This window comes from Homo sapiens, chromosome 7 (assembly GCF_000001405.40).
Source record: "Homo sapiens chromosome 7, GRCh38.p14 Primary Assembly".
Lineage (NCBI taxonomy): Eukaryota > Metazoa > Chordata > Mammalia > Primates > Hominidae > Homo > Homo sapiens.
Window position 1 is genome coordinate 26,612,356 of NC_000007.14, and position 23,946 is coordinate 26,636,301.

The window sequence follows — 23,946 nt, forward strand, 5'->3', positions numbered from 1 at the left end:
CACACCTGGGTTTGGTGCCTGCTCTACAGGGACAGGTGAGGCTTCTCAAGTGACTCCCCATCTCCCCTGGGGTCTCAGCTTTCTCATTGTAAAACCCATGGTCAGGACGATATGCTTCCCACGACAGCTTTCTCTGCCACCAGCCAGGATGCTTTGGAACAGAGGGTAGAGCCCAAGCGCACAGTCCTGGGTTTGAATTCGGTGCTGCTGCTCAGCAGCTGTGCAATCTGGGTGCACTCCCTGCCCTGCTCTGCCTCACTCCTCAGCTGTAAACTGGAGACCACACTGGCCCTCACCCAGGGCCAGTGGGGGAGTGGCGTTTAAACGGGGGAATGCAGGTGCCTAACCCAGTGCCTGGTGTCTCAGGAAAGCACCCTAAATACTTGCCATCATTACTCCAGTGGAAGCCAGGTTCGCATTGGACATCTTAGCGTATTCTTGGCTGACTCTCTTTCTCTGACATATAAATGTAGGGTTCCTGCAGGGACCCATTTTCATCCTGTATGTGTTGTGCAGTATGGGGAAGGCTGATAGCACGACAGTCAGCGTGAATCATCCTCCTGCCCGTGGATGCCAGTTGGCAATGCTACCCCGGCCGCATGATGCAGAAATGGGAGCCAAAGCTGGGACAAGGTAGAGAGGAGGGAAGGAGCCCCAGTGCCTGCAGAAAGAGCAGAGGGTTGGAAGACTACTGTCGGCTAGCTCAGGCCACGCCAACTGACACATACGGAGTGTCCACTGCTGTGCACACAGGCTCGTGTGCAGCATCATGTGTGTGTGTGTGTGTGTGTGTGCCTGTGTGTGCTTGTGTCTGTGTGTGTGTATGCAAGGAGAGGGATATACTTATTGAAAACTAAAAACATTGTTTCTACCCCAAGGAACTCACAATCCAACTGAGAAGCTCAGACAAGTAGCTAAAATTAATTCAATTCAGAACATGGCACGTGAAAAGGTAGGAACAAATGAAGCACAAATGAGGACATCCAAGCTGCAGGGGCTATGCAAGGTTTCCCCAAGAAGGAGAGAGCTCAGACGGAGCCTTGCAGGAGAGGAAGGATCGCACCGTTCATTCACTCACTCGTTCCATAAAAATGTATTGAGCAGCTACTGCATCTTAGGCCTGTGCCTCCTGGAGAGGCAATGGCAAAGAAAAACAGACACAGCTTTTGGGGAATGGAGTGGAGAAGAACATTTGGGACAAAAGAAGCAGGAAAAGCAAAGGTACAGAGGCAAGAAATGAAGGCAGAGCTGGAGGCAACAGCAGAGAAGGGGGCAGCTGGCAAGGCCGTTAGAGCTATGGCTGGGAGGATTCAAAGGCCAGGCCGAGGGCTCGAACTCCACCGGGAGTGTGCAATGCAAGGCCTGTGTGGAGAAACGGAGAAACATGGGAAGAAGGAGCGCTTATGTGGCCAGAGCAGGGACAGCAAGGCTGATGGCAGCAGCTACAGGGAGCACGAGGGGGAGCGCAGTAGGAGAACAGCACCCCAGGTCCCCCACTGTGCAGGCAGGCAGCAGGGGGTGGGCCTGGAGGGTCACAACAGGGGACGAGGTGGACCCGAGAAAGCAAGGATCCAAGGTCAGGACACAGGCGCCCTTAGACTCCCAGGGCCTGCCTCTCCCAGAGGTTGCCATGGGCTTCAGTCTCCTCAGAGGAACGACCAGGCGGTTGTTTGAGAAGTAGGAATAAACAGCATGGGTTCAAGCACATGGCAGGTCCAGTACCAGGTCCGGCAGGTACAGATGTATTTGACCCTCATCCTTGGTGACTGGACAGAGTGGCTGGGGGGTTGAAGGTGTCTTTCCAGAGAGGGAAGGGGAAGTTGCACAGTGGGCACAGCATTCAGTCGTGCCACAAGAAAGGCGTGCTGGAGATGGGCTGCACAGCAGCAAGGCGTCCTTAACACTGCCCAGCTGTGCATTAGAAATGGTCATCATGGTGATTCTATGTCTATTTGAGTCATAATTTAAAATAAAATACAAATATTCAATAAGAGCAGATTTAAAAGGAGAGAGGAAAATGGCTCCACAGTTCCAGGTCCCTGTGACCAGGAGCACGGTGGGAGTCATTCAGAGAAACAGGAAAATCTAGAGGATTCCATTTGGGGATAGATGGAAAGCCAGGTTCCTTTGGACACATTAGGATTGAAGTGCCTGCTGGACTCTGTTGAAGATGTCCTCCCTGCCAAGAGCAATGTGAAACAGGAAGCCGGGAGGTGACACAAGGACGAGGATGAGCTGGAAGGTTACTTGGCCTCCCAGGCCTCACCAGAGCCACCAGCCGATGTGGCACAGCCTCATCCCGAGCTCCACCAACAGCATGCCTCAGCCTCCACCCACGCTGCTCAGGTCCCCTGGCCCTACCACTGACATTCTTCCCTCTCCTCCCACCTCTTCTCTTCCCATAGCTTCTCCCTCCCGGTGACTTCACTGCGCCACGACCCTTCTCCCTCTCAATTGGCCTCTCCCTCAAAATGCGCATCACATCTCACGGCCTCTCTCTCCATATCTTTCAACACCAGCTCAGCACTTGAGTCTCGGAGGCAACTTTGCCAGCAAATGAGAATGTACAAATTAAAATGTCATGTGATTCTATTCTTTTTTTAGCTCACTGCCCAAAATTTAAAAGTATGGCAATGGCTAGTGCTAAAGAGAGTGTAAGAGAATAGAAATCTTTATATTTGGGAGTGGAAATTTAAACCCGCTATAACCATTTTGGATATTAATTTGGTAACATTTATTTAAAATTTTTTAAATGCACACTTTGACTTAGCAATCCTGCTTTTCAGTAACTGTCTTCAAGTTTGTAAATCTGCATATCTAAGAATGTTTGCCGCGACGTACTGAGTATTGCATCAATGGGGAGGTTATGGAGTATGTCAGCAGACATTCACTCAAAGCCTAGAAGCAGTCCCTGGTAGAGCTGCAGTTCTGAGCCTAGAGAGATTCTACACTGCAGACCAATATATAGAAGATAAGTGTGTGTTTGTGGGGGTATGTGTGTAAACATGTGTGTATATTTAGATGCCTCTTTAATAAAAGAATAAAATCAGGAAAATAACATAGTAACTTCTAAGGCTATGTCAAGGGGACAAGATTTCTTAGGCCTGGAAAGGGGAAGGGGTAAGAATTTCATGTCCATGTATGTTTTTAAAAACTGGTATAACTGGGGGAGTGATTTTTCTTTTAGATGTTTATGAGTATTTTTCATATAAAATAAACTTAAAATCAAAATAACGAAATATTCCTGATAGAGGGAATCTCTTTGGTGCAGTTCATTCTTCTAGACCAGGCAATGACATAGGCTCCTGACAAGCCTACTGATTGGCTGTCACGGCCATCGCTGGGTCATGTGATACCCCCTTCCAATCAGGGTGGGACAGGAGCATATGGAACTAAACGAGGCTGGAAGTGGGCTGTGGTAAGGGCAGCTTCTCTTGGAAGGGTTTTTAGGAATGTAGACATCATCATGGAAATGCCTAGTTCTTTCCACCTCAGCCAAGGACACAAATGTGGGAAATGTCTACTTTTCAGGGACACATAGGCAAGAGAGGATTTGAGGGAGGTCAAAAGAGAACTAAAATAACACGATGCTGAGAGGGAAAGGAGACAGTAGAGGGAAGAAATTAAATATGAAGAGAGATGAGCAAGTTATCTATTGAATAAGCATTTACCCAATGACTATTATTGCAGGTGTTGCTCTAGTGCTGGGGCTACAGCAGTCAACAAGGCAGGTGGGACCCTGACTTTACAGAGCTCATGCTCTGTGAGGTGGGAGGCACGGCCAAGGACGGGCAGAGGGAGGGACAGGCATTAGTAAGAGTTGGTTTAGTTGCAAATGATAAAAGACCCAACATAACAACAGCTTAAACAAGTTAGACTCTCATCTCTTTCTACCATAAAAGAAGTCCAGAAAGACGTGAGCCAGGGCTTTCAGGATCCTTACTGTCTGTGCCCTGCTCTCCTGCGCATGAGGCTTTCACCTCAGAGTCCAACATGGCTGCTTCAGTTCCAGCAATCACATTCATGTTCCAGCTGACAGGGAGGAGCGAAGGGGATAGAATGAGCGTGCCTCCTCCTTCCAAGCATGCTTCCACTTATATCCGATAAGCCAGAGCTGAGTCATGTGGCCACACCTCAGGTCAGGGAGGCTGGGACATGCTGTCTTGTTCTGGGTGAACACATGCCTGGCCAAAATCCAGGGCTCTGCGACCAGGGAAGAAGGAGAGGATGGCTAGCAGGAGACACCGGGCTGTCTCACCACAGGAAGAAGTCAGAAAATAAGCAAAAGAAAGTGGCATGGAGTAATAAGTGGTTTGCTGAATAAACTCCAATGTGAAAGAAAGTAACATAAGATGCAGCTCCTCCAGATGGAGCGAGTGGTTGGGAACAGCTTCTCCACTGAGGTGAGATTTTAGCTGAGACCTGAACAACAAGAAGGAGCCAGCCACAGAAAGATCTGGAGGAAGAACGTTCCAGGCAGAAAAGAAGTAGTGTGGAAGCCCCGAGGCAGGAGCAAACCGGACTTAGGATTGAAAGGCCGTCACCGCTGTGCACGGGGAGGAACAGCCGCAAAGCCATGTCCTGGGGGGTCCAGGAAGGCAGGAGCATGGGTGGGGCTTATTAGTGCTCCTCCTTAGAGACATGCATGTGTGAGTGTGCGTATGTGTGTGTGTGCGTGTGTGTAGGAAGCGACAGACAGAGGCCTCAGTCTCGCTCAGGTGTGTTCATGTGTTCCAAACATTCCAGATATAGGGTACCAAACAGATGAACAGAGTAGAGAGTCAGGGACAGCACTGTCATCCACCTGTCATGACTATCATTGTAGTAAAGATTTCTGTGACTCGGACCTTTGTTCCCTCTCCCCACCAACACCCGCTGGAGCCCCGTGGTACCTTTGCTGGGGGCTCCGGCCGTTGGGTGGTGGCGGCACTGCAGCATCTCCATGCAATCCTTGTGGGTTCTGATTACAGCCTTGCTGTGGCCTCCTGGCCTTGTCCTCATGCTGTTTTAGGCTGGAAACTGGGACTTAGATGATTGTTCTGGTCCCAAGGCAGCTTGGCCAGAGATGGAGGCCATTAAGAAGTGCACAATCATTTCACTCAGGTTCAGGTGGTGTCCAACTCCAAGAAAGCCAAATTATTTTGCAGCTACTATGTAATTTAATTCTCACAGCATCCTAGGAATTGAACAAATAGGTATTATTCCCACCGTACAGGTGGCAAAAAGAATTGAAACACAGAGAAAGTAATTGACTGACCTAGGGTTAAGAAGCAAGTTGACAGCATCACAGGCCTCGCTTCCACTGTAAGTGCTTCGCCTGCTCGGCCATGCAGCCTCCCAAGTGAGCCGCTCAGGTTGCTAAAGAAACAGCCAGGGGATCCCTACTGTCCCCTGCTAGGGTGACTGATGGTCCCAGTCTGCCCCACACTGGGAGGTCTCCCAGGCAGGAGAGTCCTGGCAAACCAGGACAGTCGGTCACCCTCTCTGGAACAGTCTGGGAACTTAACATGCACTTACCTGAGGACCAGCTACTGAGCTGGGCCAAGGGGAGGTGGTCTCAAAGGCAGGTGAGGCTCTTCGCTTTATAACTTGCTGTGAAACCCGGACAGCTCAAGGGGAAAGAAAAGAAGGAGGCGTGTACAATGCCTAGGGAGATCTTTGTCCAGAAAGGTGAGTTCAGAGAGCCTGCTGTCTGACCACGCTTCCCCTTCCCTGGGCGCAGATCCTTAAAAGTGTTAAGTGAACACTGCTGAGTTCACTTACAAATAAAGGGCCGAGCTCATGCCTGGGGTCAAGGAGGGCCTCTTGTAAAATCCTTGTGATTAGAGTGAATGAAAGGCATAAAGGGAGATTACAGGAAGCTGCTGATCCCCGGAGATGAGAGAACACACCTGGCACGCTTTGTTGACAAGTAGACACTTGCGAATATTCCATTCCTCCTCATTTTCAATTCTCCTCTGAAATCGTGAGCAACACTGTGGGCTACAGCTTTCACTGTGATCTGATGGAGAAACAGAGGCAGAGATGAGCCACCAAAGAAAACAAGACCGCTCCCCTATCTTAGTCGGCTCTGAGTGTCTTCAGAAAAGCCCCCCAGGTGGGCACGATTATTCCCACAAGGGCTGTGAGCACACTTGTTCTCTGGTCATTTTCTCTTCTCCACGTGGGCATCCCTGAAACTGGCCTTCCGGATTAGGAGCCAAGGTCATGGTCTGCCTGAGTGACATGCTTTGCTCTTTAGAACCTGAGGCGTGTCCATGGTGTGGAAAGGGTTAAGCATGCAGGCCCTGGGATTTCCGATTCCCGTGGGAGAACAGCAGCATTCGAAGGACAATTCTGAGCAAGCGTGTTGTTTCGAGGCCATGCTGCAGTGTAGTTCCCAACCTAATTGGCCCAGGTTAAAGGCAGAGAGCAGAGGGAAAGCTGAAGGGTCCGGTTAACATCTTGGCTGGTGGGAAGCAAAATAAATCCGGTTACTTCGTTGGGTACATGAAATTTTAGCTAAAAGATTAAAGGATACGGGTATAAAGTAGAAACTCGTGAGTTTCTTTCAATGATCTTTCAGAAAGTTACTCCAGGCCATGTGCTCCACTTTCATTGCTAACAAAAGGGGACTGTGCTTATATCCCTTCCAGTGCCTGTTTTTTTTTTTTCCATCTCCGCAGCGAACATTCTGCTCTCAGCTACACAGGTGCATGACACAGCACCGTGATATCTCATAAAACCAGCTACAGCCAAGGCGCTCGCAGACACAATGGCTGAATTTATGAGACACACATCAGTGTCCCTGCAGGAGGCGGGCTCGCTCAGGGGGATTGGTTAAGGGGCTCCCTCCTTCTGTGTTACTAGGTCATATGAAGAACAGGCCACGTGTCCTGACAACACTCCCTGCTAGTATACCTGGGTAGTGTGCAAAAAGCAATCCCAAGACCTTGAATCAACTTTCACCATAGACAGTAATCTCAACAAGGTGTGAATCTGCCAGTACAGCAAGACTGCCATAGCAAGGGCTCTGGTAAATCTAGCTTTCATGGCAGGCACCTTTTTAGGTTAGGCAGGAAACACAGCAGACCAAATGTTTGCTTCACCTGAGACTAGGTTTAGAATTTTATCATAAAGGCCAGAGCCCGAAAGGCATAACTGATTTGTGTGTCTAGCGCAAGAATGTCCTGCTAGGTTTTGGAGGCAGGGAGGCCCAGGTTCGGGTCCCAAGTTTCCTACTTTCTAGCTATGTGGCCTAGGGCAAGTCCCCTCTGGAACACAAGGATGAAGTTTCCCCAACTGTGCTGCTGTGAGGACTGATGAGATGGCATATGTACAATACTTAACCCGCCATAAACACTTCAGAGTCAGAGCCACCAATAGTATTAGGTGTGGAAAGGAGAACTTTGTGTTGCAACTGAGTTTTTTCCAAGCAGTGTTTACAGAAATCACAAGAAGCCCAGATCAGAGTAAACTGAAGTGAAAAGGTCATTTCCAGGCCCTCTGGGATTCCATCTCCTTTGGCATCCCCTCCCTTAATGAACTCACCCCTCCCTTAATGAACTCATCCCCTCCCTTAATGAACTCATCCCTCCCTTAATGAACTCATCCCTCCCTTAATGAACTCATCCCTCCCTTAATGAACTCAACCCCTCCCTTAATGAACTCAACCCCTCCCTTAATGAACTCACCCCTCCCTTAATGAACTCACCCCTCCCTCTTCAGTCCCTGCCCCATGTGGCAGGGTGTTTTTAGCTGTGCATTGGCTGAGCAATTGATCTTCTAGAGCTGGCTGGGTCCACAGATCCTCAAAAGATGGGGGTCTGTTTCCTCACTCATTCTCCTTTCAGTGTCATTTCTGGATGAAAAGTACCACAGCAGCCTGGCAAGGAATGCTATCTGTGCCCATACCACAGAGTGCCATGCACAGAACCAGTGTGTTCTCCCAAGAACAGCAGGCAGCGGGGTCCTAGAAAGCTTCCTGGGAAAGCCCTGTCCATGTTCCTCACTTGGAAGGAGGAAAGCCTAAGAAGAGGATGTGTGTGATGAACGGTTTATTTCATCAAGGAGCCATTAGAAACAATAATCAGAAGGTAAAAGAGGATGAAAAGAAAGAAACATGGCGGCTCCCTCTCTCCCTCTGGCCCAGTCCCTTCCGCTTGTGTCCGGGAAGCTGTGGGCGGTGATTTAACATGACTCACTTGGGGGCATAGGCGCTATGAAGTTCAGTGGCTGGGTGCCAGGTGGCGCCAATGACACCCTTTTTCTCAGAGCCCGGGCTGAATGGACACCTCCCTCAAAGCCTTCCAGACCCAGGGTTACGGCCGTTCCCAGAGACATGTTCCCGTGCTGCTGGGCACACCTGCAGAGGGGAGGGAAGGTCCTGTGTTTGCTGGTGCTGCTCGTCCTCTCACTTCCTACCGAGCATCATGTTGCAAACAAATGACCTTGGCACCACCGTTTTGCAAATTGTCCTTTCTTGGGCTTTACTTTTTGGTCTATGTGAGCAAAATGAACTGAAGTCAAGGTACGACTCCCAATAACCTGCTGTGGGATGAGAGGGCTTTTGTCATTTATGCAGTCTGATTAGTTATCCACGCCCAGAGCTACACTTTCTCGATGCTTCTCAGCTCTGACTCTCACAGGGCCAGGGAGAAATTTTTGTGCCCCCTAAATCATGTAGTTGGATACAAAACATTCCCTGGAGGCCTACCATTCTCAAATCCCCGTGCAGGGCTCTGTGGGGTGCAACATGAAACTCGCTCTAACTCCCTACGTGGAGGACAGACAGACCCATCCTAACTCCAAAGCCAGACACAAGGGACAAAGGTACCAAAAAGGTGCAAGGTGCAAGAATGGACGACGCTGGTCTTCCAATTTGCTGGAATATCTGTGCGGCTAGAATGGTGTCTTGTTCAGCATATATCAGCATCTTGCCCTTGCTCTGTCCTGCCTGGCCACAAAGGACACTCAGACAACACCGGCCTCATAAATGCTGCCTGGAGAAAAGCCTAGCTAGGTACGGAGGGTCAGGGTATTTCAGAAAAGAGAAACTGCTTCAGCCAATGCTCATGAGATTTACCAGGGAATAGCAAACAAGTCTAGTGCAAGCCAGGGTTGGGGGAGTGGGAGGGTGATTAGCAGAGATCAATCTAGAAAGGAGGTCAAGGTTCTGTAGGTGGGGAAAGAGGGTGCTTGTGTATTAAAACTTGTTTTCCAGCAGTTTGGAGATTTCTCAAAGAACTAAAAATAGAACTACCATTCATCCCAGCAATCCCATTACTAGGTATATACTCAAAGGAAAACAAATTGTTCTATCAAAAAGACACCTGTACTCCTATGTTTATCGCAGCACTATTCACAATAGCAAAGACATGGAGTAAACCCAGGTGCCCATCAACGGTGAACTGGATAAAGAAAATGTAGTACATATGCTACCATGGAATACTACGCAGCTGTAAAGAGGAAAGAAATCATGACCTTTGCAACAACATGGATACAGCTGGAGGCCATTATGCTAAGTGAATTAATGCAGAAACAGAAAACTAAATATCACATGTTCTTATTTGTAAGCAGAAGCTAAATATTGGGTGCACACAGGCACAAAGATGGGAGCAATAAACACTGGGGATTCCACAAAGGGAGCAGGCAGAGGGAAGGGTTGAAAAACTACCTATCAGGTCCTCTGTGCACTACTTGTGAGACAGAATCATTAGAAGCCCAAACCTCAGCATCACACAATATACTTATATAACAAACCTGCACATTGACCCCTGAACCTAAAATTAAAAAGAAAAAAGAATAAATAAATAAAACTGGCTTTCTAAATATGCTCTGGAAGAGCTGATGAAAATGACATCTCTTAGGATGCAATTTGGAAAGAAGTGACCTGCACCTTCCCAAGGCTTCCTTTGTCCCACTCCCACGGCAGTGAGCATGTTTCACATGCCATGAGTGGATCTGAAGCGCAGGGAGGCAGAAGCAGCCACCGTTTTCTGGAACCACCTGAGTGGCAGTCATGGGGGTCCATTTGTGGAAGAAAGGAAATGTTTCCAGGCAGACATTTCATGGTGGATTCAAAGATTACAGGTTTTGGCCAGGCATAGTGACTCACGCCTGTAATCCCAGCACTTAGGGAGGTCAAGGCGGGTGGATCACCTGAGGTCAGGAGTTCGAGACCAGCCTGGCCAACGTGGTGAAACCCTGTCTCTATTACAAAAATTAGCTGGGTGTGGTGGTGTGCGCCTGTAATCCCAGCTACTCAGGAGGCTGAGGCAGGAGAATTGCCTGAAACCAGAAGGCGGAGGTTGCAGTGAGCCAAGGTCGCACCACTGCTCTCCAGCCTGGAAGACAGAGTGAGACCCTGTCTTGAAAAACAAAACAAAACAAAGATTACAGGTTTTGTAGCCAGATGGACCTGACTTGAAGTCCAAACCTTGCAACTTTCTCCCCAGTGACCTTGAGCAAGATGCTTTCCTTGCTGAGCCTTGGTGTCCTCATTTATAACTCAGAGGAAGGAACTCCAATCTCATCTGGCTGTGGCGAGGGTGAAATGAAATCATAAGACTGAGCCTGGCACAGAATCGAAGGTGTTCAGTGACTGTGAGCTCTCCTTCCCCTTCTTTCTGTTTTAAACCTGTTTTCAGGCTGCATGCAATTAAAAGTTTACAATGTTCTAAAACTGATTTTCCAATTTAGGGGCAGTAAACTGTAAGTCGCTGCTATTTTCCTAAAATGACATTCTTTAGATTGGAGTCTGTTGGATTTCTTTTCAATTGCATTAAATTCTACTTACTGCATTTCTAATAAGATACCAGCCTGTCTGGGAAAAACATCTGATGGCCGATTCTGACTATTAAAGCTACCTGTGGGAATAATAACACCCGAGACCTCCATCCACACACCTCTCCCCATGGACTCAGTGGAGGACATTTGTTAACAAATGTGTCAGACACCTTTGAGTTTAATACCGCTGTGCTCATTGCTTCCATTAGATGTGGCCTTGTAGAATCTTCCACAGGGCATAGTTTGGTTAAATTGTGATGGGACACAAAGGTGTGTAACCTGCATCGTAACAAAGACAAGGTGACAAAGGTTTTAGAAATCTGTTTTTTTTTTTTTTTGAGACAGGGTCTCCCTCTGTCGCCCAGGCTGGAGTACAGTGGCATGATCACGGCTCACTGTAGCCTAGACCTCCAGGGCTCCAGCAATCCTCCTGCCTCAGTCTCCCAAGTAGCTGAGACTACAGGCATGGGTCACCACACTTGGGTAATTTTTAAAATTTTTTGTAAAGATAAGGTCTTGCCGTGTTGCCCAGGCAGGTTTCAAACTCCTGACCTCTAAGTGATCCTCCCGCTTCAGCCTCCCCCAGGTGTGAGCCACTGCACCTGGCCAGAAACCTAGAACATTCTAGACAGGAGCTCCACCCATCACACTGTCAATCTCCCTCAGTCAGGTGAAAAGCGAGAGCACATACCAACCCAGAGAGAGGCACACGCATACAACTCCTAAAGAAGCGTCTGTTTTTCTTAACACAAAGAGTAAAAGATGCGTGCACTGGCCCGCCAGGGTGCAAGGAGGCCTTCCATGCTCTGGCCTCAGCCTGGACCAGGAGAGGTCGGTTGAGTCCTTGCACTGTCACTTGGACAGTCAGAAATATTTAGTTGAGGACAATTCTATCTGAGAAATAGCAAATGTGATTTTTAACAACTAAGCAGCCCTTTGGGGAAACATGGCCGCTTATAGCCTTGTGGGAAGAAAGTTGTCATGTGGCCTTTAAAACTGATTTTTAAAAAAACACCTAAACTGGCCAGGCATGGTGACTCACGCCTGTAATCCTAGCACTTTGGGAGGCCAAGGTGGATGGATCACGAGGTCAGGAGATCGAGATAATCCCGGTTAACACGGTGAAACCCCATCTCTACTAAAAATACAAAAAGTTAGCTGGGCGTGGTGATAGGCACCTGTGGTCCCAGCTACTTGGGAGGCTGAGGCAGGAGAATCGCTTGAACCCAGGAGGTGGAGGTTGCGATGAGCCGAGATCCCGCCACTGCACTCCAGCCTGGGTGACAGAGTGAGACTCTATCTCAACAAACAAACAAACAAACAAACAAACAAACGAAAAGCACATAACCTCTACAGGCGCTTGAGGGCCTCCATCTACCAGAGGCCATGGACCTCTTTGCAGGCAGAGAATGGGGAAGCAGAGTGGCCACATTCATGTTCTCCCCAAAGTTGGCTCTCTGCTGGCCAGGAGACCGTGGCTTATCCTGGCAGGAGCAGCTGAGAACTCCCCAAACACCAGGAGCCTCCAGCTGATATTTCCAGGATTTGCAAGCAAATATCCCCTTCTCTTTCCAAATTCAACCCCACCCGCAGCCCCTGCAGCAAGCCAGCCAGGGCTTGAGATAGGACCTGGGCACAGAGGAGGTGAACATGGAGGAAAGGAAACCCTGCACGCTTGGAGAAAAGTCTTTGTTTGGGAAAAAGACAAAAATGAAAACAGCATCTGTGGGTGGTGCTGGCTTGGGAGCAGCATCAACCCTCCCGTGTCTACAGACTCAGGGGTTCTGAACGCACAGACGCAGGGAGGTGGAAGGTGGTGCCCCATGAAAGGCAAATGCCGGGAGCTCTCCAACAGGCCAGATGACTTTCGCTGAAAGGAGGTGCCCTCCCTTGAGAGGGTGACAGGCTTCGGCCGGGGAAGCACTTGAAAATGTCTCTACAACACAGAAACAGCCCAGGTCGTTGCGGCTTGGCTGGCAGTGGGAAGTTTCCGGATGTCTGCCTGCACGTCCCACACAGAATTCTGCGTGTGTGTGGACAGAGTGCATGCAAAAGTCCCCCTTTTATGGGCAAGATCCAAAGAAATGCTTAGAAGTAGAGTGGAAAGGCATGGATACCTTGCCATTTTACTTAGAAACTAGCAGAATTTAAGAATGGCCAAATTTAACTAACTGCAGAGCAGGCTGGCTTAAGTTGTGGGGTTAAGTGGAAAGAACTGGGGTGTCAAGTCAGGTACCCTGACACCTCCCATGGTAGGGAGTGGGTTTGGGCACGCTGCTCTACCTCCCTGGACATCAGTGTCCTCATCTGGGCAGTATGAGTCCTAACACCTCTTATCACAGGGCGCCTACAGCAGTGACTCCCATTGGTGCTGCCTGGGAACCCTAACACCTGGGATCTTTGGAAAATCCTGAGGCCTGTCTTCCACCACCAGACATTCCACTTCATTGTCTGGAGTGTGGCCCGGACAGTAAGATTTTTAAGGTGTCCCCGGGTGATTCCAACATGCAGCAAAGTTTGCTAGCCATTGGCCTAGAAAGTAGAATGCACTCAACAAATGTTTGTTCTCTCCAGGACCAGCTACAATTTGTGGGACCCCTTGTTTACAAAGTTTTCAGAACTTTAAGTGGCGAAAGCAGCACATTAATCCAGCTCTGGGCATTCTGGGCGCAGGCTGCACGGGATGGCTTGGCTCAAGCGTCCATGACGCCAGTCTGCGTTTTTCTCCCTTCCTCCCCTTTCTAGCAGAGCAATGCCTCACATTAACTTTTTTAAAAAATTTAATTTTATATTTTTTGAAACAGAGTCTCACTCTATCACACAGGCTTAAGTGCAGTGGTGCGATCTCAGCTCACTGCAACCTCTGCCTCCTGGGTACAAGCGATTCTCCTGCCTCAGCTTCCTGAGTAGCTGGGACTACAGGTACGTGCCACCACACCCAGCTAAATTTTTTTGTATTTTTTGTAGCGACGGGGTTACACCATGTTGGCCAGGCTGGTTTCAAACTCTTGACCTCAAGTGATCCACCTACCTTGGCCTCCCAAAGTGCTGGAATTACAGGCATGAGCCACCGAGCCCGGCCAACTTTTAAAAGAAAAGAAATCACACAATGGACAAAGGGAACAAGAAATGAGGCGATCCAAAGTAGCTCTTGAGGGGTGTCATGCTAGCTGGGGCTACAGCAATGTTTCCTCAAGAAGCCTGGGACTTCCGCAGGAGAACATGCCTTGGGTTGTGAGGCTCTGGGGTGGTGCTGAGAGGCCTTCTAGAGGCCGGGTGCAGAACTCCTCTCGCCCCCATGCCAGTTCATACATCTGCACGTGGACATGTGTGACATACATGCCACAGCTCCAGAGCTGGGAAAAGTGTTACAAGTGGGAGACAGTTTCAGGTCTTACAGGAAAGGCCGTGCAGCTATGAAAATTCACCTTGCAGCCAGGAAGAATGGAACACACTCATCTCTAGAGAGAAGCTTTGTGGAGCCAGGAGAAAATGATGACCTACAGGGCTCAGCCCATTGGCCCAGGCCCTGTGGGAAGGCTTTGCCATTACAGGGCGGGTGCGGGTGGGTCTGATGCTGGTTTCTCCTTTTCAGCCTTATCAATGGGACCCCAGGACTCCTCTAGGGATGCTTGATCCTTTAATGCTGCTTTGCTGGAACAAGGGAGAGGTATAGTAGGGAGGGGACAGAGGAGGAAAGGAAGGCTGGTGCGTGCCTGTGATCCCCTCTTGGAAAAACAGCCCTGGGTCCTGTGGCCAGTGCCTCCCCTGCCCCCAAGCAGCTGTGATTTAGTGGAGGGGCCTTGAAGCAACAAGTCACAGGCTCTGTAAAAGCATCAGAAGTGGGAGAATCTAGCACAGAATTGACGACTGTCTGGTCCCCACCCCACTGTCTGGTCTTGGTCCTTAGGTTCACAGTGAGGGTTCAATGACTGCAGCTCCATAAACAGAAACCCAGAGAATCTGGGTCTGGGCTTGGCTGTCGGCTTGAGCCTGACCCTGGGCTGTCAGCTGCAGTTAGAGGAAACCATCTGAGAAGAACTGGTTAACAAAAAAATCAGGGACAATTACAAATCAGGGGATTCTTCTAGTTTTTAAATGGGAAGAGCAAAGTGCTTGGCTCTAAGAAGACTCTGTGGACATTTTACCCACCCGTGAGCTCTGGGCTTGGTCGCTGTGGGATTCCACCCTCCTGGGGGTCCGGCTTCATCTCCAGTCCTGACCTCCTTGAGATCTGGGAGACAATGGAGCTAACCTTTATGCAGCCCTCACCCCTGCCCCCAGTGGGGTTGTTGACTCCTCTGAGGGTCACTTTCCACCTTTGTAAGATGGGGATCATTATGGGATGTTTGCATGAATTAAATGAGACCATGCGCCTGTCCCAGTGCCTTCTGGGAGCACAGGAAAGGGCTCAGTCGTCATCCGCCCTTTAGGCGTCTGCGTGTGTCATCCTCAGACACCGATGAGGCGAGGACTGTTATTCTTCCCCTCAGAAAATGAGAACATTTATGGCTTTAGAGAGGTCAGATAACTGAAGTCGGTTAGTGGAAGCTCCAAGACCAAATTCCAGGTCTGTCTGAGCGTTGGAAGCACCATGGAGTGTCTGCACTGGCCCAAGGGAGAAGGAAGGTGGAATAGAAGGAAAGGAAGAAGTGTCTCAAGGGATCAGCTCATGCATCAGAAAACACACAAACGAAAAGCAGAATCTCGCTCTCCACAGCGGTGGAGGCCGCAGTAAGGAGATGGTGTGGGCACGGCCAGTTTAAGAAGCTGCCTTCATGGGCATCCCAGGATGGGCCCGGTCTCCAATGCCAGAGCTGAGCTGGCAGCTGGCACGACCCCTCCGCTTCTAATGAAGGCAGGCCCTGAGGCCGGAGAGAGAGGAGCAGAAAGGCTGCATGCAGGCTTCCATGCTGGGCTCTCCACCCCCAGGCCGGGGAGGGAGGGAGGCACTTGCTCCTCCAGACACCGCACTAAAGCCACTGCCAGCAGCCAGGGTGGCGGCCACTGCCGAAGGGGCTGGGCTGCAGCACGGTGGCTGGGAGAGTGATGGAGTGGCCTTTAATTGTTTGTCCTTTGAAACCCGGGAAGTGTTGGCAACAAAATGAGACTAGAGAGGCTGCTGGCAGGGACATGACGGGCTGGAGTAGAAGCTTCTACCTCCTAAATGGTTAAATGGCTGGTCTGCCAAGGCCACCAAGCAAAGTGGTACTTCACCACGGGGCAGATTAAAATATGCATTTTCTCCTAATTGAGCATAGTGAAATCAGCCGGCGGTCCTGTCACAAGTGCAGGAATGAATTGTCACAGCACGACACACACGACTCGACAGAGCATCTATTATATGGGGAAAAGAGCCACATAAACTTCCTTCCCGCTGGAATTTCAACTAATTTGTTGTCCAGCGGGCTGGGATGTGGAAGCTTGGAGAAGGCTACGGGAAATGGTCACCCATCCGTCCCTATTTCCCCAACAGCATCAGATGATCCAGTTGTGGCATCTTGTGCTTATAACGTACCATGGCAAGGTCTGGTTGCCAAATTGGCAAGAGAGCTAAAGGCTCTTGTATATGATTACCCTTTTGGGTTGTGTCAATCTGTGTTTTGTATCCAGTGTGGTTGTAGGGCATATGCATTTGAGGCAAATTCTATTTTTCCCACTGCCTTCCATTATAAAATTAGAAGTGTGTTCTTAGAAGAAAACTGAAAATCTCATGACAGTCTACCCTATTCAAGACTCTGAGAGCCAGTGAGGGCAGAGGGCAAGGTGAAAGCCTACGTGTCTCACGCAGATTTCTGGGGGATGCTGACATGCTCGGCCATGAAAGCTGCCACCACAAGAAGAGGAGAAGCTCAGTCCTGCTCAGGTGCCCTGTGGCTGGAGCCATCTGTTATGAGGCTTCTGTTATCCACTGGAGCATCTGTTGTAAGGTGGGCTTCCTGCTAAATTGACATCAAGCCTCTGCAACAGACAGAACCTGTGTTCTCCTTTTTTTTTTTTTTTTTTTTTGAGACGGAGTCTCTCTCTGTCGCCAGGCTGGGGTGCAGCGGTGCGATCTTGACTCACTACAACCTCCACCTCCCAGTTCAAGCAATTCTCCTGCCTTAGCCTCCTGAGTAGCTGGCACTACAGGTGTGCGCCACCACACCCAGCTAATTTTTGTATTTTTAGTAGAGACAGGGTTTCACCATGTTGGCCAGGATGGTCACAATCTCTTGACAACATGATCTGCCTGCCTCAGCCTCCCAAAGTGCTGGGATTACAGGCGTGAGCCACCACGCCCGGCCTGTGTTCTCCATTTTTAATGTCACAGTGCTTGACATTTTTGAACACATCTATAATATTTTTCTGTTTTCAATATTTATTTTAAACTGTTTACAGACACTTCACCATCTTAATTCCCCTCAATTTCTCTCTTTGACCAAGGCATCCATTTGAATCAATATTCCCATACAACACAGGGTCATTGTGGCCCAATGCTGATCTCAAATGAGTAGCAGATGCTCACATGGTTGGCACCCTTTGAGGTCATAGCCAACCAAAACCCACAACTCTTTTTCACATGAACCACTGGGATTGTGTTTGTGTAGTTTACTCTATGAACCTAAATGCAGGACTTTGCATTTACTTTTATTAGTTTCCTCATCATGGTTTCAGCTGTGTGTCAGCCTATTGAGAACATTTTGAATCCTGATTGTGTCATCTGTAAAGGAGCTGTTTCTCCTAGATAACAGATGTACTATGTCTACAAACTTGATAAACATGTCTTCTCTGTACTCAGCTAAATCAACAATAAAAATACTCAACAGAGCCAAGCACGAGCCCCACATAGCCTCTAGAAGCTTCTTCCGTTTCTCAGAACTCTCCTAAGTTACCGAGTCAGCCATCTGCCTGAATTTTTGTGGGAGGGACCATGACAAGCATATGGTGGGCACCTAACAAATATTAGTGGAATAAATTCAAAGGAGGAAATTTGAGTTCGCTTATTTTTTAATTAAAAGATATAACCACAGTTTAGGTAAGACTTAGGTGTGATTCCAGGTAACCACATAGAAATATGTCTAGGATCCTGATGAATGCATGGCATGTAAGATGTGGCCCACATATGGAAATTCAAATGCACTTTTCACTGAAGATGTAGTTGACGATAATGACCTCTTTGGTTTCAAGAAATGATTATAGATGAAAATAGAAGATGAATTAGCCTTAATGAGCATGCTTACTTGTTATTCTTCCCTGCTGGTGACATTAGCTGTGTTCTACCTTTGGTAGCAATGCACACATTGTTACATTTGGGGTCCTGGAGAGTAGATTGCTGAAAGAGCCCACCATGCCACTCTGGGTCCTCATTCCAGAAGGCCACTGTCAGCTTTCTGGATTCTGCTGCCTTCCTCTGTGAAGAGCTGGGCACCCGGGCTGCCTGAAGCCAGTGGGCCAGGGGAAGCCAGCAGCCGGGGCCGCAGGCCAGGGAGTCTCTCCTTGAGCATTGCCTCCCCAACAGGACTCAGTGTGAGGTGCTGCCATGCCAGTCATCTCACCCCTGTCCACTGGGACATGAATCCTAATGTTACTTGATTTCTAGATATATTTTCTTTGCCCCCCTTCTAATCGGCAGTAAATGCCACTTTCATACTGGGAGATCGATCATAATAACAGTAATAATGACAGCCGCCATGCACTGGCTGTTTGGAGTGTGTGTGTGCGTTATGTCATGGCATCCTTGCAGAAATCCTGTAATGGAGGCCGTACTGTTATTCCCCTTATGAACAGGGGAAGGAAGCTGAGGGAGGGGGTCACTTGCCTAAACCATGAAGCTGAGAAGTGCCTGCTGACTTCACAGTGCCTGCTGGTTGATTTTCCTGCCGTCTCATTTTACACTGGACATGGTTTGGTTAAATTTAATTGCACAAATAACTTCTGGATTCTCATCACATATCAGGCACTGTGTTAAATGTCACAGATGTTTCAAGTCAAAAGGCAAAACTCCTACCTGCATGGATCTTAACAACCCACGGAACTAGGTTTTGCTGTGGCAACAACCGCAAACCCTCAATGACTTAAAATAGCAAAAATGTGTCTCTCATCCATGCTACATGTGCGTTATATCAGCTGGGGACTGTGCACGATTGTCACACAAGGACCAGGCCGACAAAACAGCCACCAGTGCAAACACTGAAGGCCTCTGTGGAGAGGGGAAGAGAGAGATATAGATTGCTCACTTCAGGAGTTGAACGTTCATCCCAGAAAGGACACGCACCGCTCCCACTCCCGCACACTGTCTAGGACAAGTCCGGTCCCCCGACCTGGAGGGGCTTAGAAGTGAATCCTTCTATGATGACCACCATATGGATTAGTCCCAAGGCTAAGACAAGCACACTAGTCACTGTGACATAAGGCAGAATGCAGTGCCTCACAAGATATGAGCCGCAGGTCGAAAAGGTTTGCAGGAATAGAAAATAATTTCCCTTGGTGAGATCAGGAGAGGCTTTGGGGAGAAAGGACAGATTTTGGGAGATAAGTGAAATTGCAGTAGGCAAAGATGAGGGTGTGAGGTGGGATGAGAACCTAGGGTCAGAGACTAGTAAGAGGAGCGGCCCAAAGACAGGAGCGGGGAGGTGATCTGGAGCGGAGACCAGGTGGGCACAGAAAAAGAAGGAGGATGGCTGGGCTGAGCCTGCACGGAGAAAACTGCTCCCAATTTCATGGTCTTTGGGAGGTGCTGGAGGTGGCAGCTGTGACATGATCAGAAGTGCACTTAGGGAGTTTCTTCAGACAGTGGCTCGGACAGGAGTTGGAGGTTGTGGTTGCAGGGGCAGGTGGGAGGCTGTCACAGTATCTCGGGTGGGAGAGGAGGGCCTAGGTTAGGGGTGCTGATGAGGATGGAAAGTAGGGGAAGGGTCTGAGACATGACGTGGAAAGAAAACCCAGAGAACCCCAGAATCAGAGATGCTAGAATGTTAGATAACTTAATGTTATTGGGGCATGTGGGTGAAGGAAAGAAAATGCCCCGATTCCAAGCCTACACGAAGTACTTGGATGACATCCATGATTCTCTCCGAGAAGCCACGAGTGACATCCCCAGCAGGGTCAAGCCAAGTCTCACTTTGGTAGATGACAACAGGCCCCTGGTCCCAGAGATGTCCTATTCGGGCAAGAGCTTTCTGCCAAACCTGTCAAATATTTTCCTCTCCAAGGAGCATTTGAGTTAATTCACTATTTATTTACTAAATGTGCTGTAGAATATGTGTGGTAACACTGGGACATTGACACTGACCATGAAAAATTCTTTTACAACCTATACTTTCTTCAGGCCCCTAAGCATAGGGGCCTGAAGCTGATAAAAATATGCTTCCTGTATGCCTTGGACTTAGAAACATACTTATTTTTAAAAATGTATTCTTAGAGACTTTAAGGAGCTACAACATGTTGGCAAGTTTATTCTACATGCACAAGCAAGAATTCAATTCAGGAAACTTGCAATAGGTAATAGAGTGTTCTGCAGCGTCTGTACCATGTTATACACTGGTCACCATCATGAAGTCCAAGGTCTAATTAACCCTTCCCACATGTAACTAAAATCAAAATCCACCAGAGCTAAGGTTATTTTAATTTTTATATGGCATGCACACATCAGAGAAGCTCAGCAAATACCTGCATCTAATCTGCCTGCATAGCAGGTGTATCTATAAATGTTTAGGATCTGCTTTTTTAAAAATATATATATATTTTTATTATACTTTAAGTTCTAGGGTACATGTGCACAACGTGCAGGTTTGTTACAAATGTATACATGTGCCATGTTGGTGTGCTGCACCCATTAACTCATCATTTACATTAGGTATATCTCCTAATGCTATCCCTTCCCCCTCCTCCCACCCCACAACAGGCCCCAGTGTGTGGTGTTCCCCTTCCCGTGTCCAAGTGTTCTCATTGTTCAATTCCCACCTATGAGTGAGAACATGCGGTGTTTGGTTTTTTGTCCTTGCGATAGTTTGCTGAGAATGATGGTTTCCAGCTTCATCCATGTCCCTAAAAAGGACATGAACTCATCCTTTTTTATGGCTGCATAGCATTCCATGGTGTATATGTGCCACATTTTCTTAATCCAGTCTATCATTGATGGACATTTGGGTCGGTTCCAAGTCTTTGCTATTGTGAATAGTGCCGCAATAAACATACGTGTGCATGTGTCTTTATAGCAGCATGATTTATAGTCCTTTGGGTATATATCCAGTAATGGGATGGCTGGGTCAAATGGTATTTCTAGTTCTAGATCCCTGAGGAATCGCCACACTGTCTTCCACAATGGTTGAACTAGTTTACAGTCCCACCAACAGTGTAAAAGTGTTCCTATTTCTCCACATAGGATCTGCTTTTCATTGAATATAAAGGTTCTGTTAGTTATATGCATCAGTAAACATATTTTAATGCTTTTATGTTGTTTATCTTATTGTTAGATCAAGAATTTCAGAGAGTTTAGTAAACAGGAGAATGCTAGAGTTATGCATCAGCTTTCTCTTGGGATTTTTTTTCTTTTTTACATATGGCAAACAAGCATATTGATTCTCTACCTAAGGAAGTGGTTCTTGGAACTCAAGCCACAGGCGCCATATAAGGTCTTGCTGCTTAGGGTGTGGTCCATGAACCAACAGCATCAGCATGCCTCAGAGCTCCTTAGGAATGCAGAATTTTGGGCCCCACCTCAGACCTACTGCGGCAGTGGGTCATGACACAGTGGACTTTGGGGACTCTGGAGGAAAGGCTGGGAAGGGGGTGACGGATAAAAGACTACAAATTGGGTTCAGTGTATACTGCTGGGTGATGGGTGCACCAAAATCTCACAATCGCCACTAAAGAACTTACGCATGTAACCACACACCACCTGTTGCCCAAAAACCTATAGAAATAAAGAAAAAAGAACTAATGTGTTCATGAGGATTACTAATCCCAATGTCAAATGGAACACGTTAATTGCATGTGACTAAACTAATAGAGGACTTAAAAATATAGAACGAAACCAAGACAAGAGAGAGTTTAAAGTGAGAGAACATTTCTCCAGTTCACAACCAAATTCAGTCTTTGTTAAGAAATCGATTTTTCATCTTGAAGAATGAAACAATTCCTTTAGTCTCCCTAGAACTGTATCATTATTAATTATTCTTTTTTGGAACAAGTTACAGCTGTCTGCTATCCCCCATGGCCAGACAGACTCTCCCACGTCTGAGTGTCCATGTTTGTGCATCGTCTTCTCTCCCTTGTACTACTGTCTCATACTATTCCTTCCCGAAGGCAAGGACCATGCCTTCTTGACTTCTGTGTCACCAACAGAGCTCAGGCTCCGGTGATGGGCAGTTCATTCATTTTTAGAAAAAAATCACAGCCGAGAGGAGAGTGACTGATAAATAAAGGCGGAAGAAAATGGGACATTTCATACTCATATTTGAAAAAACAAAAAACAAGATCTGCCTGCCTGCAGGTAATTTGTGTGTACGCTGAAGTCTGGGAGACATTGACAAAAGGGACCCATACAGAAAGTGCACTAAAGAAAGTTACGTGACAATATGACCTGCAACAAGCCAGAAGCTCAGCTGAACTTATGGGTCTCTTGAAATTCAAGAGCTTTGCACTGCCTCATATCATTATTGCTTTGCTCTCTTTCCACCTGGCATTTCTTTGACAAAGTTGTCACTGTCTGATATCTTTTTTCCTGCCTATCAGGAAGATGCGATTCTTCTCGGAAGATTGACATAATTTTTTCTATGCATGCCCATTTTGTCTCTTTAGTTTCCTTGGAAGATCTTGGAAAGCAAGGACCCTTCAGTCTTTCTAGACTAGTTTTCTAAACTAGTAGACCATTCTAGTGCCCCATTTAGAATCTTCTACTTTTAAATGGTTAGAGATGATCCAGTTTGCATAGCATTCCTCAGACTTTTGAAATTCATGACTTATTTTGAAAAAAAAAAAAAGATCTCATATCCTATTGTTCAGTGAAAAAAAGCAAAATCCAAAACAGTATTTATAGCATGCTACTCTTCATGTAATAAAGAAGGGGAAATAAGAAAATACCCAGCTATCTGCTCCCTTGTATAAAGAAATATAAGTGGCTGGGCGCAGGGTTCATGCCTGAAATCTCAACAGTTTTGGAGGCCGAGGTGGGCGGATCACTTGAGTCCAGGAGTTCAGGACCAGCCTGGGCAACATAGTGAGACCCAGTCTATTAAAAAAAAAAATTTAGCTGGGCATGGGCATGGTGGTGCATGCCTGTAGTCCCAGCTACTCGGGAGGCTGAGGTAGGAGGATCACTTGAGCCCAGGAGGTTGAGGCTGCAGCAAGCCAAGATCCCATCATTGCATTCCAGCCTGGTGACAGAGTGAGACTCCACCTCAAAAAACAAAAAAAAAAAAAAAAAAAAAAAAGAGAAAAGAAAGGAAAAACAAATACAGGAACATAAACCAGAAACTAAAGATGTTGGCTACCTACAGGGGGTGAGTGGGAAAGGGGAGGGTTGAGGAGGGAAAGATCCTTCTCTGTATACAGCTTTTTGTACAGATCTGACTCTTTGACCATAGTAATTATTTACATAACACCCAAACTAAACAAATAATTAAAAGCAACTGGGATGTGGAGGGAACCCAAAATGGAATATAATAAACACTAATAAAGGAGTCTAACTCTACTGCAAATAAATAAGGTAACCACATTCAAGGAACAGGGAAGAAAATAACTAATCTAAACCACTGTGGAAAACAGTATTCCGCTGGATGCTGAAAAGCCAAGGGCATGGAACTGTGCATAAACGCTGTGATCAGTTAGTAAAAGCATTTCTCATGGCAGTATGAGCTAGCCGTTCAAAACTACTTTATATAGATACAGTTGACCCTTGAACAATGCAGGTTTGAACTGCGAGGGTCCACTTATACATGGGCTTTTTTCAACCAGGCGTGGTTTACGGTATTCGAGGGATTTGAAACCTGCAGAGGCGGAGGGCAGACTTTTCCTCTACTCATGTTGCCCAGGTCTGACTTCGGAACTTGAGTATGCACGAACTTTGGCATGGGTGAGGGGGTCCTGGAACCAAACCCCTGTGTATACCAAGGGACAACGGTAGTGGAATTGAACAAATAAGTAAATATATTGTATATGATGAGAGCCAGGGTTTTCACTGTTGGAGAAAGATGT

The 23,946-nt window shown here is 47.6% G+C and overlaps 1 long non-coding RNA gene across 1 annotated transcript in view, besides 4 other annotated features; it reads right to left on the reverse strand.

Moving 5' to 3' along the window:
• LOC101928077 (uncharacterized) overlaps positions 1-11,075 on the reverse strand; it is a 37,861-nt gene extending 26,786 nt beyond the window's left edge. Inside the window, exons 1-3 of the long non-coding RNA XR_007060264.1 lie at positions 10,938-11,075; positions 5,258-6,001; positions 4,893-5,176 (exon numbers count right to left, since the gene is read on the reverse strand). This is a non-coding gene — a long non-coding RNA (uncharacterized LOC101928077). The remainder of the gene's footprint in view (positions 1-4,892; positions 5,177-5,257; positions 6,002-10,937) is intronic.
• Positions 1,782-2,298: an enhancer, noted in NCBI's record as "H3K4me1 hESC enhancer chr7:26653756-26654272 (GRCh37/hg19 assembly coordinates)". NCBI's record gives its function as "activates a minimal SCP1, AML or CMV promoter by ChIP-STARR-seq in primed H9 embryonic stem cells {active_cell/tissue: H9 hESC(primed)}" and the evidence as "EXISTENCE:reporter gene assay evidence [ECO:0000049][PMID:30033119]".
• Positions 5,410-6,609: an enhancer, noted in NCBI's record as "CDK7 strongly-dependent group 2 enhancer chr7:26657384-26658583 (GRCh37/hg19 assembly coordinates)". NCBI's record gives its function as "activates an origin of replication core promoter dependent on BRD2, BRD4, P300/CBP, MED14 and CDK7 cofactors, with strong dependence on CDK7, by STARR-seq in HCT116 cells {active_cell/tissue: HCT116}" and the evidence as "EXISTENCE:reporter gene assay evidence [ECO:0000049][PMID:35650434]".
• Positions 17,715-18,216: an enhancer, noted in NCBI's record as "H3K4me1 hESC enhancer chr7:26669689-26670190 (GRCh37/hg19 assembly coordinates)". NCBI's record gives its function as "activates a minimal SCP1, AML or CMV promoter by ChIP-STARR-seq in naive H9 embryonic stem cells {active_cell/tissue: H9 hESC(naive)}" and the evidence as "EXISTENCE:reporter gene assay evidence [ECO:0000049][PMID:30033119]".
• Positions 18,217-18,716: an enhancer, noted in NCBI's record as "H3K4me1 hESC enhancer chr7:26670191-26670690 (GRCh37/hg19 assembly coordinates)". NCBI's record gives its function as "activates a minimal SCP1, AML or CMV promoter by ChIP-STARR-seq in naive H9 embryonic stem cells {active_cell/tissue: H9 hESC(naive)}" and the evidence as "EXISTENCE:reporter gene assay evidence [ECO:0000049][PMID:30033119]".